This window comes from Homo sapiens, chromosome 3 (genome assembly GCF_000001405.40).
Source record: "Homo sapiens chromosome 3, GRCh38.p14 Primary Assembly".
In the NCBI taxonomy this organism is placed as follows: domain Eukaryota; kingdom Metazoa; phylum Chordata; class Mammalia; order Primates; family Hominidae; genus Homo; species Homo sapiens.
The window spans coordinates 32,462,880-32,479,653 of NC_000003.12; the positions used below are offsets into that span (position 1 = coordinate 32,462,880).

The 16,774-nt window shown below is 44.9% G+C and overlaps 2 annotated features.

Moving 5' to 3' along the window:
• Nucleotides 4,808-4,877: a silencer, noted in NCBI's record as "silent region_14171". NCBI's record gives its function as "represses an Ori minimal core promoter by ATAC-STARR-seq in GM12878 lymphoblastoid cells {active_cell/tissue: GM12878}" and the evidence as "EXISTENCE:reporter gene assay evidence [ECO:0000049][PMID:35858748]".
• Nucleotides 5,468-5,577: a silencer, noted in NCBI's record as "silent region_14172". NCBI's record gives its function as "represses an Ori minimal core promoter by ATAC-STARR-seq in GM12878 lymphoblastoid cells {active_cell/tissue: GM12878}" and the evidence as "EXISTENCE:reporter gene assay evidence [ECO:0000049][PMID:35858748]".

The following is a 16,774-nucleotide window of genomic DNA, read 5'->3' on the forward strand; positions in this document are numbered from 1 at the left end:
TTGCAGTGAATGACTCTAGCTTCCTTTGGAAGTAAAGCAGCTTTGAGAAGCATTTTTATTAAAGAGGCATTAATGATAGAGGACATTTGTGTAGTGAGGAAACCTCTTGCATGGAGGTGCAGGATATGGAAGGCATATTTAGAGTCAGTATAAATATTGACATTTAGTCCTTTTGCAGGAGTGAGGGCTTGACTTAAGGCAATGAGTTCGGCTTGCTGAGAGGTAGTGGAGGGGGAAAGAGCGGTAGCCTCAATGATAGATGTGGAAGATACTATAGCATAGCCTGCCTTTGCTGGTGAGTGGAGATTAGGCTTGGTGGAACTGCCATCAATAAGCTAAGTGTGTTCAGGGTGAGGAACATGAAAGAAAGAAATGTGGGGAAATGGGGTGAACGTCAGGTGGATCAGAGAGAGGCAGTCATGAGGGTCAGGTGTGGTATCCGGAATAATGTGGGAGACTCAACAAAGAGTGAGTACAGCTGAAGGAGCCGGGAAGCAGACAGTATATGTGTCAGGTGTGAGGAAGAAAATAGATTTTGGAAGTTATGAGAACTGTAGAGAGTGAGTTGAGCATAGTTTGTGATTTTAAGGGCCTCTAAAAGTATTAGGGCAGTGGTAGCCGCCATACGCAGACTTGAGGGCTAGGCTAAAACAGTAAGGTCAAGTTGTTTGGATAAAAAGGCTACAGGGTGCGGTCCTGGTCCTTGTGTAAGAATTCTGACCGCACTAAGCATGCCTAGGAAGGAAAGGAGTTGTTGTTTTGTAAGGGATTGAGGTTTGGGAGATTAGTCAGATACGATCAGCAGGGAGAGCACGTGTGTTTTTATGAGAATTATGCCCAGATAGGTAACAGATGGGGATGAAATTTGGGCTTGACTGAAGTAATGGGACCTGTCTGTGAAGCCTTGCGGCAGTACAGCCCAGGTAATTTGCTGAGCCTAATGAGTGTCAGGGTCAGTCCAAGTGAAAGCGAAGAGAGGCTGGGATGAAGGGTGCAAAGGAATAGTAAAGAAAGCGTGTTTGAGATCCAGAACAGAATAATGGGTAGTAGAGGGAGATATTGAGGATAGGAGAGTATATGGGTTTGGCACCACAGGATGGGTAGGCAAAACAATTTGGTTGATAAGGCTCAGATCCTGAACTAACCTGTAAGGCTTGTCTGGTTCGAGGACAGGTGAAATGGGGGAATTGTAAGTAGAGTTTATAGGCTTTAAAAGGCCATGCTGTAGCAGGCGAGTGATAACAGGCTTTAATCTTTTTAAAGCATGCTGTGGGATGGGATATTGGCATTGAGCGGGGTAAGGGTGATTAGGTTTTAATGAGATGGTAAGGGGTCCATGATCGGTCACCAAGGAGGGAGTAGAGGTATATTATACTTGTGGGTTAAGGTGGGGGGATACAAGAGGAGGACGCAAAGGAGGCTTTGGATTGGGAAGAAGGGCAGCAATGAGATGTAGCCTTAGTCCAGGAATAGTCAGGGAAGCAGATAGTTTAGTTAAAGTGTCTCGGCCTAATAAGGGAACTGGGCAGGTGGGGATAACTAAAAAGGAGTGCTTAAAAGAGTATTGTCTAAGTTGGCACCAGATTTGAGGAGTTTTAAGAGGTTTAGAAGCTTGACTGTCAATACCTACAACAGTTATGGAGGCAAGAGAAACAGGCCCTTGAAAAGAAGGTAATGTGGAGTGGGTAGCCTCCGTATTAAGAAGGGGACGGACTTACTCTCCACTGTGAGAGTTACTTAGAGCGTCTGTGATGGTCCTGTAAGCTTCTGAGGCAATCAGGCGGTGTCAGTCTTCAGCTGCTAAGCCGAGAAGATCTGGGAAGGAGTCAGAGAGCCTTCAGCCAGAGTTCCAGGGGCTCTGGGAGTGGCTGCCAGGTGAGTTGAACAGTCCGATTTCCAGTGGGGTCCTGCACAGATGGGACACGGCTTAGGAGGAATCCTGGGCTGCGGGCATTCCTTGGCCTGGTGGCCAGATTTCTGGCACTTGTAGCAAGCTCCTGGGGGAGGCAGTTCTGGATGTACACCTAGCCACTGCGGTTCAGGCGTTTGGAAGTTCTTGTGTGCTGGAGATGTGGCTGGAGTTTGTCTCACAGTGGAGGCAAGGAATTGCAACTCGGAAATATGTTGCTACTTGGCTGCCTCTACTCTATTATTGTACACCTTGAAGGCAAGGTTAAGTAAGTCCTGTTGTGGGGTTTGAGGGCCGGAATTTAATTTTTGGAGCTTTATTTAATGTTGGGAGCAGATTGGGTAATACAATGTATATTGAGAATAAGACGGCCTTTTGACCTTTTAGGATCTAGGGCTATAAAGCATCTCAGGGTTGCTGCCGAACGAGCCATGAACTGGGCTGGGTTTTTATATTTGATGAAGAAGAGCCTAAACGCTCTCTGATTTGGGATAAAGAAAAAGGAGCATTAACCTTGACTATGCCTTTAGCTCCAGCCACTTTTCTAAGAGTAAATTGCTGGGCAGGTTGGGGAGGGCTAGTCACGGAACGAAACTATAAGCTGGACTGGGTGTGAGGAGGGGAGGGGATAAAAGGATTATAGGGTGGAGGAGCGGAGGCTGAGGAAGAATTGAGACCTCGCTTGGCCTGGTGAGGGGAGAGGTCAGATGGGTCTGTAGAAAAGGAAGATTAGACAGACTCAGCGACGCTTGGGGTTGGGACTGGGGACAGGTGGGAGGGAAAGAAGGAAGATTTGGGACGAGTCACATTGGGAACAGAGACTAGGGAGGGACCGATGTGTAAAAGAATGCCTGGACATCAGGCACCTCAGACCATTTGCCTATTTTACGACAAGAATTATTTAGATCTTGTAGGATGGAAAAATTGAAAGTGCCGTTTTCCGGCTATTTGGAACTACTGTCGAGTTTGTATTGGGGTCAAGCGGCATTGCAGAAGAAAATAAGGCATTTAGGTTTTAGGTCAGGAGTGAGTTGAAGAGGTTTTAAGTTCTTAAGAACACGGGCTAAGGGAGAAGAAGGAGGAATGGAAGGTGGAAGCTTGCCCATAGTGAAGGAGGCAAGCCCAGAGAAAGGAGAGTAGAGACACGGAGAAGGGGTGGGGGATTCTTACCCTCCAGAAAAGTGGAAAAGGGGTCAGGGCACGGAAAAAAGGGATGGGGCACAGAGATAAGAGGTTGGGGTTCTTGTCCCTCCTCCAGGAAAGTGGGACTTGCCTCAAAGGGTGAAGGACCAAGGCAGGCGTCCCTGCGTGGTCTGACACCTCTGAAACGTGGGTGAATAATCAGGCGTCCCTGCAATGATTAAACACCAAGGGAAGGCTGCCTTCCCAGTCCATGACCGGCGCCAGAGTTTTAGGTCCATAGATAAAACGTGTCTCCTTTGTCTCTACCAGAAAATGAAAAGAATTGAAATTAAGAGAAGGCAGAGATTGAAGTGTGGCATCAAGATTGAGAGGAGAAAGGTTGAGGAATAGTGAGGGAGGTTGGAGAAGAGAGTAAAAAGAGGCTGCTTACCTGATTTAAAATTGGTGAGATGTTCCTTGGGCTGGTGGGTCTGAGGACCTGAGGTCATAGGTGGATCTTTTTCACGGAGCAAAGAGCAGGAGGACAGGGGATTGATCTCCCAAGGGAGGTCCCCCGATCCGAGTCACAGCACCAAATTTCATGTGCGTCCGTGTGAAGAGACCACCAAACAGGCTTTGTGTGAGCAATAAAGCTTTTAATCACCTGGGTGCAGGCGGGCTGAGTCCGAAAAGGGAGTCAGCGAAGGAAGATGGGGTGGGGCCGTTTTATAAGATTTGGGTAGGTAAAGGAAAATTACAGTCAAAGGGGGGTTCTCTGGCGGGCAGGAGTGGGGGTCACAAGGTGCTCAGTAGGGGAGCTTTTGAGCCAGGATGAGCCAGGAGAAGGAATTTCTCAAGATAATATCATCAGTTAAGGCAGGAACAGGCCATTTTCACTTCTTTTGTGGTGGAATGTCATCAGTTAAGGCAGGAACTGGCCATCTGGATGTGTACGTGCAGGTCACAGGGGATATGATGGCTTAGCTTGGGCTTAGAGGCCTGACAGAAACCACTGACATAAAGGGAGATGCCAGGAACCACTGGGCACCAGGTGGATGGAAAGGGCCCAGGTTGGAGGAGGGCTGGGGAGACAACTGGTGGACTGTTTGGGTTTTATTGCCATATTCTGTGTACATAAAAAACAACATAGGCCGGGTGCGGTGGCTCACGCCTGTAATCTCAGCACTTTGGGAGGCTGAAGCGGGCAGATCACCTGAGGTCGGGAGTTCAAGACCTCAAGACCAGCCTGACCAACATGGTGAAACCCTGTCTCTACTAAAAATACAAAATTAGCTGGGCGTGGTAGTGCATGCCTGTAATCCCAGCTACTCGGGAGGCTGAGGCAGGAGAATCACTTGAACCCAGGAGGCGGAGAGGTTGTGATGAGGCGAGATTGCACCATTGCACTCCAGCCTGGGCAAAAAGAGCGAAACTCCTTCTCAAAAAAATAAAATAAAAATAAAATAAAAAATACTCCACGTAGAGTTATGCAAAAAAGGAAATGTTACCACAGCATGAAGTGTGCCGCTTGGCTCAGTTGTGAATAGTGATAACAGCCAGAATAATGGTCACGCGGAATACTGATTTAACCGAAACTGTGACAAACCTCATCAGCCGGGCAGGGATGCGTGTGGAGCGAGCCGCTGGCCAAGTGCTGCCAGATGCCCCAAGTGACCCAGAGAAATGGTCATCTGGATTTCCACGCTAAACATTTCCCGATTTTTAAATGCTGCCAAGTATCTTTTCAAAGATACACTTCAGGCCAAACACACCTGCTGGGGGCTAGCTGAAGCAGCCAGCCCCAGTTTGCGATCCTGCCCAGGAGGGCCCTCAAGCGCTTGCCCCAGGGTCTTGGCAGTTCTCCGGAAAGTCGGGGCCCCGCCGGTCTGGCAGATGCTTCCTAGCGAACCCAGGGGCAGCGCGCTGGGCGGAGGCCCTCCCTGGGGAGCCCCCGGGGTCCCCGGCCAACAGCTGTGCCTGCTGCCACACCTCCCAGCTGGACACAGCTCTCCTGTAGCGAAAACAAAACCCACCAAGCAGGTGGCTGCAGGAGCCCGCGCGCAACGCGCCCGCTCCTGGCCGCGCACGCCCCCTGGCGGCCATCGGGAAGCATCGCCGCCGCGTTCCTTGGGGAGAGCCACGCCTCTGGGAAAGCTAAGAACTGTTCACATTAGAAGCATCCACTTGCACGGTTTTTTTGTTGCTGTTTTTTGGGGGGTTTTGTTGTTGTTGTTTTGTGGGTTTCTTTTTCTTTTTGAGACAGAGTCTAACTCTGTCACCCAGGCTGGAGTCCAGTGGCGGCACGATCTCGGCTCACTGCAACCTCCAACTCCCAGGTTCAAGCAATTCTCTTGCCTCAGCCTACCCAGTAGCTGGGATTACAGGCGCCCACCGCCACGCCCGGCTAATTTTTGTATTTTAGTAGAGACGGGGTTTCACCATGTTGGCCAGGCTGGTCTCAAACTCCTGACCTCATGATCCGCCCACCTCGGCCTCTCAAAGTGCTAGGATTACAGGCGTGAGCCACCGCGCCCGGCCTGCACGTTTTATTTGAACCTCAGGTACACAGATTAATCATCATCCTGAGTTCATAACACTCTTACACTCTAATCATGGTCCATGCATGGCCTCCTTCCTCCCTCCTTCCCTATTTTTTGTTTATAGTCAGCACTGAAGCTAGTCGTGACAACCTGCATTCAACTGTAACAATATGCTTCTTCAGTTCATCACCCTCCCATCTTTTTCCTCCCAAGGTAACCTCCCAAATCCCCCATTGATCACGGGCTTGCATTTCTTGTAATCTTGGTAGTTTATAATTAAATGGAAAAGATACCACACTGTATGTAATCTTTCAGGACTTTATTCACTTACCATTATGCAACATGTTACATCCTCTTGGCCTCACCTATCCCTTGATCCAGCCACCACTGCAGTGCTAGCCCTGCAAGGCCTACGACCATGTCATGCCAGCATAACCTGATAGCTGTGATTTGGGCCTTCAACTGTCACCTTGGCGCTTTCCTGTGGACACTGCCATGGGACCTGCTCAGCGGCCACACAGTGCAACTTGCAAGTGCTGCAGGGGAATTCACTCCCTGTGAGGTAACACTGACCAATGGGACACAGGAACCAGTGCGTGCATTCTTCCTCCTCCTCTCCTGGACCAGACCACCCTGAGGCACATTTTACACAGCTTCTCAGAGGACAGTCCTGTGGAATCGAGCAACCAATCACACAGTGGTGGCTAACTCAGTAATATCCTCATATTGGCTCACTCTCCTTCCCTGGTTCACTCATGATGATGGCTCAGCGGGCCACGTGGATACAAGCTGAAAATGTGTGCTGGCTGCACTAATAGTGTTATTTCAGGGGTAGCCTTGAAAGACAGCAGTGAAAGGAAACACTCCCAATGGGCAAAGCTCTGGGCAGTGCATCTGATCATCCGCTGGAAAGAAAATATACAGACTCAGGGAGTGGTGAACGGCTTGGCTGATTGGCCAGGGGACTGGAAAGAGAAAGACCGCAAGGCCCCAGAGGGATGAGTGAGACAAAACGAGTCTTCAGCCACTAAACTTCTCAAACAAGCAAGTCATTTGAACAAGAGGTGGATTTCTTACAAAATGCAAACTCTGAGTAATGAGGCCACTGCATATCAGAAAAAAAGCCCAGAAAAAAACCTGCATAATACATGTTATGACTGAAAGCCAGGTATGGATGGAATGAAAGGGACAGGCAGAGCTGGACTAGCTAGGGGGCTGTAAGGGTGCTCAGAACAGCAGATGACCTGATACAAAACCTGGAGTGGATGTCACAGTTCCTGTGGAGCAAAGATCTAAGTCTCAGCTGATACAACTCAGTCTGGGGCAAACGACAGCAGAGGGACAAGACTTAGATGTGGGGTTGCATCCCCAGATTCATTCCTACCCAGGAGGAAGTCCCAAATATTCCTAAACTTACTACATACTTGCTGTGGTTTTGTGAGGTGGTGTGTTGTGTGTGTGTGTGTGTCTGTGTGTGTGTGTGTTTGCCTGGATTGTGCTTCTCTTTTGCAAGAACCTGTTCACTGGATACATTTATTGTGACCCCTGTTGGTGACTCATATCAGGAGCAGTCAGATGCATGCCCAAGAATGGTGTTTACTCATAAAGCTTGCCAAGCATAACATTTGAAACAATGCCTCTTTCTGGGAGAAGAAAAAGTATTTGGTCTTCTCACACAGGTTTTATACCAACAGAGGTGCTATACAGCGCTTTCTTTTTTTGAGATGGAGTTCCGCTTTTATTGCCCAGCTGGAGTGCAATGGCGTGATCTCAGCTCACCACAACCTCCGCCTCCCAGGTTCAAACGATTCTCCTGCCTCAGCCTCCCGAGTAGCTGGGATTACAGACATGAGCCACCACACCTGGCTAATTTTTTTGTATTTTTACTAGAGACAGGGTTTCTCCATGTTGGTCAGGCTGGTCTTGAACTACCGACCTCAGGTGACCCACCTGCTTCAGCGTCCCAAAGGAGCCACCGTGCCCAGCCTATACAGAGCTTTCTTTAGCTGAACATCCCTGTCTGTCGAATGGATGCTGGGAACTCTACTGTGGATTAGGGAAGCTTCAAAAAGAGTGTGGCCATCTTTTGTTTCAATTGTGCTGACATAATAAAAATGAATGAATGTTTTGCTGCCATCCTACCTGGTACTTGGTTTGCAACCTAGGGTATTGCTAATGCATTATTTTAGATCTCCCTGTGGGGAATGTCAGTTTGCTTTCACGAGCACAGCATATAGCACACTTTTATTGCCCTGAATTTCCCAGTGATGTGGCATCAGTGGGTTGGACAAACCCAGCACAGTGTGAACTGCTGGTGTATGGGCAGGCATTTCCATCATGTCTGCACAAAGAAGACTGCTTTCAGGGCGTTACATGCCACCCAAGCACCACTGACGAAAGACAGGTGGGCCCTGAGCAAGGACAAAACCCAGGCGCTCTGCCTTTCAAGTGGTCATCTTGGGGGCTGTGTCACAGCTCAAATAGATATTTCACAATTAAATAAGGAAAACTTTGTAATAGCCACCAACTACAAAAGAAGAAGAAGGAGGAGGAGGAGGAAGAGGAAGAGGAAGAAGAAGAAGAAGAAGATAGAAGAAGGACAAGGAGGAGAGGAGGAGAGGAGGGGGAGGGGGAGGAGGAGGAGAAAAGAAGAAAAAAGAAAGAAGAAGAAGAAGAAAAGTGGCCCTACAGCAAAATTGGCCGCTGGATGGTACATCCCAAACCTAAGAATATTCCTACAGCTTCCATCCCCCAAGTCATCAGACATGTGGCCACATTTGCCCAAGAGCCTGAACAACAAAGAACCTAAGAATCAGCCCAGACAGCAGTAACAGAAGCCTTGCCCTAGAGCCTTTATTTCCTTTGGGTCAAGGAACTACAGGGGTCTGGGACTAACTGCACAGTTGATTAGAGCCTTTGGCAAACCAGACTTCTCTGGTTCTTCTTCTAGACTTTGACCTTTTGAACTTGAGGACTTCTTCCTGCTGCTGAGAAACAACGGCCAGCATCACTGAGCCCTGCCTACGCAAAACAGTCTTCAACTTGACATTCTCATCCTGCAATTCTGAACTAAGTTTCACAAATGGGTGGGACAAGCTCCAGAACATCCCATCACGAGAAGAAAATGGATCTTCCAATTAAGGGCCAAACCCAGCTCCTCAGCCTTTAGCCATCTTCAGGGTGGGTCAAACAGGTGGTGGCCCACCCAGGAGACAGAAATAGTGTCTTTCCTACTGTTTTACAAAAACTGCTGGTTTTATGAAGATGCCACCTATGAAACAGGCCACCTGACAAGAAAGCATCACTGAAGAAAGAGCCCACCCACCTCTGAGCAAGCAGGGCCTTTGGAATGCTACAGCCATCTAGTGATGGCGCAAGGGTGATGGCCCACAGCTTTGGGCACTCTGTGCAATGGGCTGAACTCCAGAAGGGATTTCTGGCCACAGAGAGTACTGCCCTAAGATTAAACATGCCACATGGGCTGTCACGAATGGCCCATCTGTATGGTCAGATCTTTGGGCCAACCAGGACTGGACCAGAAAAGACATACCGAATATTGGATGGCCCCTACCTTGGGGACATGTAACTATTTAATTACAAACTCAGTATCTATCTATATGGTTATATGAAGCAAACACATCTAGTGAAAAGCATTTAAAGTGAAAAAGTCAAACATATGTGGCCATCACCTCCACTACAGACCAATCAACCTGTGCTCAAATCCACCATATGCATGGAACCACCATAAAGGATTGAGATGCCCAGTGATCAATTATGGAGGCCATTGTTTTTTGTTTGTTTTTTTGAGACGGAGTCTCGCTTTGTCACCCAGGCTGGAGTGTAGTGGTGCAACCTCAGCTCACTGCAAGGTCCGCCTCCCGGGGTCATGCCATTCTCCTGCCTCAGCCTCCTGAGTAACTGGACTACAGGCGCCCGTATCACACCCAGCTAATTTTTTGTATTTTTTTTTTTTTTTAGTAGAGACAGGGTTACACCGTGTTCACCAGGATGGTTTTGATCTCCTGACCTCGTGATCTGCCCACCTCGGCCTCCCAAAGTGCTGGGCTTACAGGCGTGAGCCACCGCACCTGGCCGGAGGCCAGGTTTAACTGCAAAGACTATATTATTTGCCAGCTATACCAGACCCTTCAATGCTGACTTCCACAGGGACAGCTGGTCCACCTTCATCTACTTACAAGCTGCACAAGCTGATGATAATCACCTCTGCTTACCCGAGCTCCCTTCAATGGATAAATAGATGAATGGTTCATTTTGTTCAGATCTCTGTGGATAGACTAAAACTTGGATACTCTGTATCAGGTGTTCTATGGCCACCTTCCTCTGCCTGCTATGTACTTATGATAACAAAATGGCAACTCGTGGGTCCAGAAAAAGGACAACTTGAGTCATCCCTAAGACAGGATGACAGATCCCAACTGATCTGGTATAAATGTCTTGACCCTAGAAGTGCATGGAGGCCAAGGGGAAGTGAATCACTCTCTCTTTTTCTATTACAGGCATGAACAACAGTCCCAAATGTCCTTCTACGACTCTTCTAGTTCTCATGTTGTTAAATATGTCACCCCTGGCCCAGCCCAGCTGTAGAACCCCAAGGGTCAGGGGTTAAGACAAATTTGGATGGCATGGAGGTTTGTTTCCTCCCTCATTTTAGTAGCTTGTTGGAGAGATGGCTCAAAAGGTCCATATCAGCGCAGTGCACTAACATACTGAGTCTAGCCCCTGAACCTTTGAAGAGCCCTTTTTTGAATAAGGCCACTTACTATAACAGGGACTTTCATTCTTATAAAATTGCATAATCACTGTTGCCCCCTCCAACTTCCCTATAAACATGTAGAGCACCATGGGGCAGGTCCCTCTCTGCATGTAGTCTCTTTATGTCCAGCATAAATTGTGGGATAATGAAAGCTTGGGGAACCATGCGTACTCAACATTTTTTTTTTTTTTTTTTTTTTTTTTGAGACAAGGTCTCACACCGTCACCCAGGCTGGAGTGCAGTGGCATGATCTCGGCTCATTGCAGCCTCAAACTCCCAGGCTCAGGTGATCCTCCCACCTCAGTCTCCCAAGTAGCAAGGTCTATAGGCGCATGCCACCATACCTGGCTAATTTTTAAACATTTTTTGTAGAGACAGGGTTTTGCCATGCTGCCTAGGCTGCATACTCAACTTCTAATCTGCTCCTTTCCCCCAGCATATTAATTTTATCTGTACCACGAAGCACAGTGTCATATTAAGCTAGACAGCTTTCCCTGTCAGTAGAGAATTTCTGTATTTCACTGTGTGAACATATTCCCTTGTTCAGTAAAAATATTCTTTAATCAGAGAATGCTCATTGATGGCAGGAGCGACTGCTCTTGATTTTGAGGGCACAAGTTCAAGGAAATAGATGGGTGGGATATAAGGAATAAGTGCCTGCTGAAGAATGGCCCCATCCTCCATCCCTCCCTTTACCATGCCCTTCGCCCCCTCACTCTGTAGTACCTCCTCCGTCTGCCCCTGGGCTTGGGAATGCTAATGAATGTGATAAAAGTAGCTAGTTTTTTGTATCTTTGATAGAGATGGGGTTTCGCCATATTGCCCAGGCTGGTCTCAAACTCCTGACTTCAAGTGATCTGCCCACCTTGGCCTCCCAAAGTGCTGGGATTACAGGCGTGAGTCACCGTGCCTGGACCCAAGGGTCATTTAAAACTTCAGGGTCTCCATCCATGCCACCTACCCACAGAGGCTGGCTTTATTAACAGCTGGTTTCTTTCTCTGTTGCCCACATAAACCTGAGATTTAACTTGACTTAAGAGGATTCCAAGGGGAAAGCAATGGGTTGACATGGGTTTGTCCAGTGCCAACAGCAGGTCCCATTCTGCTTCTAGTGGAACAATCTTTCTGGGCATTTTAAATGCTCTGACTTCAGATGAGAGAAGGAGGGCAACAGGTGGCTAGGCAAGGATCCAGAGGCTATACCACGTGCAGAGGTGATTAAGTACCTGAGGATCAAATAAAAAGGGCTCAGCCACTGGAAACCTAGAGTCACACTCCCAAATGACAAAATGGAACCAATATGAGGAGGAAGACTCCGTAAATCCAACAAACAGGAGAATTAGCACCAAAAGAACTTAAGATCTTAACAGAATGGTTTCAAAGAAAATGTAGTATATGAAGTCAAAAGCTCAATGGACTTGCTAAATAGCAAATTAGTTAAAATTCAATGAATAAGTTAAAAACAGCTTAAGAAAAGAATTAGCGTTTGAGGCTGCCATGAGCCTCAAACATCCAGCCTTTTATCTCTCTGTAGCATAAAGAGATAAAAAAAGTAGAAAAAATTATAGGAAGGTTAAATATTGGAGGACTGAATGAGAAAGTCCCACATACATCTCATAAGGAATCTAGAACAAGAGAGAAAATAAGAAAACTAATTTCAAAATGAAAATAGATGAGAATTTTCCAGAAATTCAATTTCATTCCTCAAATTAAAGAAGCACAACACATCCCCAGCAAGTTAAATAAAAATAAATCCACAGACATCTCCAGTGAAACTCAATACCAAATTCAAAGATACAATCTTAAAAGAACCAAAGATTACCTAGTATGAATGCAGACTGACATCATGTTTTTTGCAACATCAGGGGCCAGATGACAATGGAATAAAGTAATATCTTTGAAGTAATGAGAAAAAATATCAATCTAGAATTCTATACCCACCTTAGCTATTTTTAAGAGTAAGGGTAAAATAAAATTTCACTCTTGCAGAAAGGACACCCAACTCTAGAGTTAGAAAACAGTAACCAAAAATAAGGTGGGACTCAAAGACTAAAATATGTTGGTAAATCTAAATCAGCAATGACTGCATAAAACAACATTAATAGTTAACTTAGGAAGTTGTTAAGATAAATGTAAAATACTAGGCAATAACAACATAGTACATGAGAAGAATTGATGGCCATTAATTCTTTTTTTTTTTTTTTTTTTTGAGATGGAGTCTCGCTCTATCGCCCAGGCTGGAGTGCAGAGGCACTATCTCGGCTCACTGCAAGCTCCATCTCCCGGGTTCACGCCATTCTCCTGGATGACCATTAATTCTAATGTCTTAGTATCATTGAGGACATGAGTAGGAGTTCTGATTAATATTACAAATCTTTATAAAATCAAATATGCATGCTAAAAATTTGATGCATATTCCTAGATTCTGAGGAATTCTAGCAAAGTGGCAGGAATGACAGAATTATAAAGTTGCTATTTTGCAACTGCTAACAAAGTAACTGATTTAGGCAAAGATCAATGGATGAAACCTTTTAGCTAAAAAGTTGATGGGAAACTTCACAGTGAGTGGGGAACACATGGTCAGTGCCTGAACCCACTAAGTGTGCACTGAATGTGGTATTACCAGAGAATACAGCACCACCTACAAAAAAAAAAAAAAAAAAAAAAGTTTAATCTGAATTTAAGCATGCCTTTAGGGCTTTCAGTTTACAGAAAATACTGGAAATAAAGGAATAAGTTAAATAACATAACAGAAATTAATAAATCCAAAATGTGAGATATCTGACAGAAATCCACAGACAAACTAGTAGAGGTGTGTAGAGTATTAGGAATGCAATTGATTTTTGATTATTGATCTTACATTCAGCAAACTTGCTGACGTATTCTGTTACTTCTACTAGTAATATGCTAGTATGCATATCAGAATATGTAATTTGCTAATCAGAATATGTAATTTCTTATAAATATCCCATTCTAGGTAACTATAAAAATAAGTATCTAGGATAAATCTGACTAAAGATATGTAAGACCTTTATGAAAACAAAAGAAAATTACTGAAAAACAATAAAAGACCTAAATCAATGGAGATTCTATGTTCATGAATATGAAGTTCAACCAGTAAGATGCCATTTCCCCCAAAATTAATCTTCCAATTCAATGCAATTCCAAGAAAAAAGCAAGAGATAGGTGAGGTCTATCGCTACAAAAAATTTTTAAAAGGTGGCCAGGTATGGTGGTGTGTACCAGTAGTCCCAGCTACTTGGGAGACTGAGGTGGGAGGATCGCTTGAGTCCAGGAGTTGAAGGCTGCAGTGATGCAGTGAGCTAGAGCACACCACTGCACTCCAGCATGGGCAATAGAGTAAGACCCTGTTGAGAGGGAGGGGAGGGAGAGAGGGGGCAAGGGAGACATGGAGGGAGGGAGAGAGGGAGGAAGGAAGGAAAGGACAGAGGGAGGGAGGGAAGGAGGGAAGGAAGGACAAATTTGGAGGTTGGTACATAAACCAAGGAAATAGAACAGAGAACCCAGAAATAAATCCATGCATTTACTGCCAACTGGTATTTGAGAAAGGTACCAAGAACGTACGTTGGGGAAAAGACAATCTCTTAAATAAATGGTGCTGGTTAATGGTAACTTGGGAAATGAATATAGTGCTGGGAAAACTGGATATCCATATGCAGAAAAATGAAATAGACCCCTCTCTCTCACCATATATGAAAATCAACTCAAAATGGATCGTAGACCTAAAAGATCTGAAACTACAAGAAGAAAACGGGAAATGCTTCATGAAATTGGACTGGGCAAGGATTTTTTTAATAAGACCTCAAAAGCACAGGCAATGAAAGCAAAAATAGACAGATGGAATTACATTAAACCAAAAGGCTGTGGCCCAGCAAAGGAAACAATCAATAGAGTGAAGAGACAATCTATAGAATGGGAGAAAAGTATTTGCAAACCATCCATCTGACAAGATGTTAATATCCAGAATATACAAGAAACTCAAACAGCTCAATAGCCTCCCCTGCCAAAAAAAAAACCTAATGCCCAAAACACCTAAATAGACATTTCTCAAAGAAAAGACATACAAATGGCCAACAGATACATGAAAAAAATGTTCAATATCACCATTCATCAGAGAAATGCAAATCAAACCACAATGAACTATGAGCTCATTGGCGACTATTAAAAAGACAAAAAATAGGGCTAGGCGCCAATGGCCCACGCCGGTAATCCCAGCATTTTGGGAGGCCAAGGCAGGTGGATCACAAGGTCAAGAGATCGAGATCATCCTGGCCAACATTGTGAAACCCCATCTCTACTAAAAATACAAAAATTAGCTGGGCGTGGTGGCGCATGCCTGTAGTCCCAGCTACTCGGGAGGCTGAGGCAGGAGAATCACTTGAACCTGGGAGGTGGAGGTTGCAGTGAGCCAAGATCACGCCACTGCACTCCAGCCTGGGCGACAGTGCAAGACTCTGTCTCAAAAAAAAAAAAAAGACCAAAAATATCAAATGTTGGCAAGGATTTAGAGAAAGGGAAACTCTTATGCACTGTGGGTGGAAATGTAAATTAGTACAGCCATTATGAAAAACAGTATGGAGGTTCCTCAAAAATTAAAAACAGAACTACCATATATGATCCAGCAGTCTAATTACTGAGAATACATTCAATGGTGGTGAAATCAGTATGTCAAAGAGCTATCTGCACTCCCATATTTATTGCAGTGCTATTCACAATAGCCAAGATACAAAATCAATCCAAATGTCCATCTACAGATGACTGGATAAAGAAAATGTGGCATGTGTGTACAGAAATACACGATAGAATATTGTTCAATCATAAAACAATGAAATCCTGCTTTTTTTTGCAGCAACATGGATGAACCTGGAGGACATTATGTTAAGTGAAATAAGCCAGGCACAGAAAGACAAACACCACATGATCTCATTCATCTGTGGAATCTAAAAAAGTTGATTTCACAGAATGAGAGAGTAGAATAACGGTTACCAGTGTCTGGGGAGGGTAGTGAGTTTGCAGGAGTGGGGACTGGGAGAGGTTGGCCAATGGATACAAAGTTACAGTTAGGAAGAATAAATTCTGGTGTTCTATTATACAGCAGAGTGACTGTAGAAATGAATAATGTAGGCGGGCCAGTGGTGGCTCACCCTTGTAATTCCAACACTTTGGGAGGATCGCTTGAGCCCAGCAATTCAAGACCAGCTGGGGCAACATGGCAAAACTCGTCTCTACAAAAACTACAAAAATTAGCTACTCGGGGGCACTGAGGTGGGAGGAACGCTTGAACCCAGACGGTCAAGGCTGCACTGTGCTCCAGCCTGGGCGACAAAACAACCCTGTCTCAAACAACAACAATGTAGTGTATATTTCAAGATAGCTAGAAGACTTTGAATGTTATCACTACTAAGAAATAATAAATGTTTAAAGTGATGGATATGACAAACCCTGATTTGATACAATGTACACATATATTGAAACATCATACTGTACTCCATAAATATGTATAATTGTCAATTATAAATAAAAAATTAATTTAAAAAAGGAATATTCTATACTTCCTAAAATGTTTAAAGGTTTACATCTTATATTTAGTACTTGATGCTACTTTGGTTTTGATGTATTGTGTGAATGCCTCACACCATCTAGTTTATTGTTTCAATGGGTGGCCCCTTCTCTGACATACAATGTTGCTTCTGTTTAAGTGGATATATATGTATAGGTCTGTTGCTGGCTTTCTTGGGCTATTTTTTATTACCTATGTTAATAACACAGACTTGATCAAACCTTAATTTCTGATAGTGCAATTTCAAAATTGTTTTATGCTTGGCTTTTTTTTTTTTTTAAGATGGGGTCTCACTGTGTCACCCACTCTGGAGTGCAGTGGCACAATCACAGCTCATTTCAGCCTCACACTCCTGGGAGAAAATGCTGTTAGGATCCTCTAGCGATCCTCCCACTTTAGCCTCCTTAGTGGATTGGACCACAGGTGCAGGCCACTGCGCCTGGCTAATTTCAGATCTGTTCTTTTTCCTCAAGATTGCTTTGGCAATCCAGAGTCTTTTGCACTTCCATATGAATTTTCAGATTATTTTTTCTATTTCTGAGAAATAAAGGTCAACAAACAAGTGAAAAGACAATCAGGTTCACCAGAAACAGGAAGAATACAAAAAAAAAAAAAAAAAGAGGCACCATTTCAGTACCAGACGAGCAAAAATGTTAAGTTGAACTAATATTAAGTGCATTACAAGAGTGGGGAAACCAGCACCTCATTCACTGCTGAGGGAAATATAAACTGGGTCTACCCTTTGGAGATCCATCTGGAAATATTTAGCCATGCTGAAATCATAACGTACCTTCTGACCCACCAGACAATTTAACTTCTAAGTAGTTACCCACCATGTAAATTCTCAC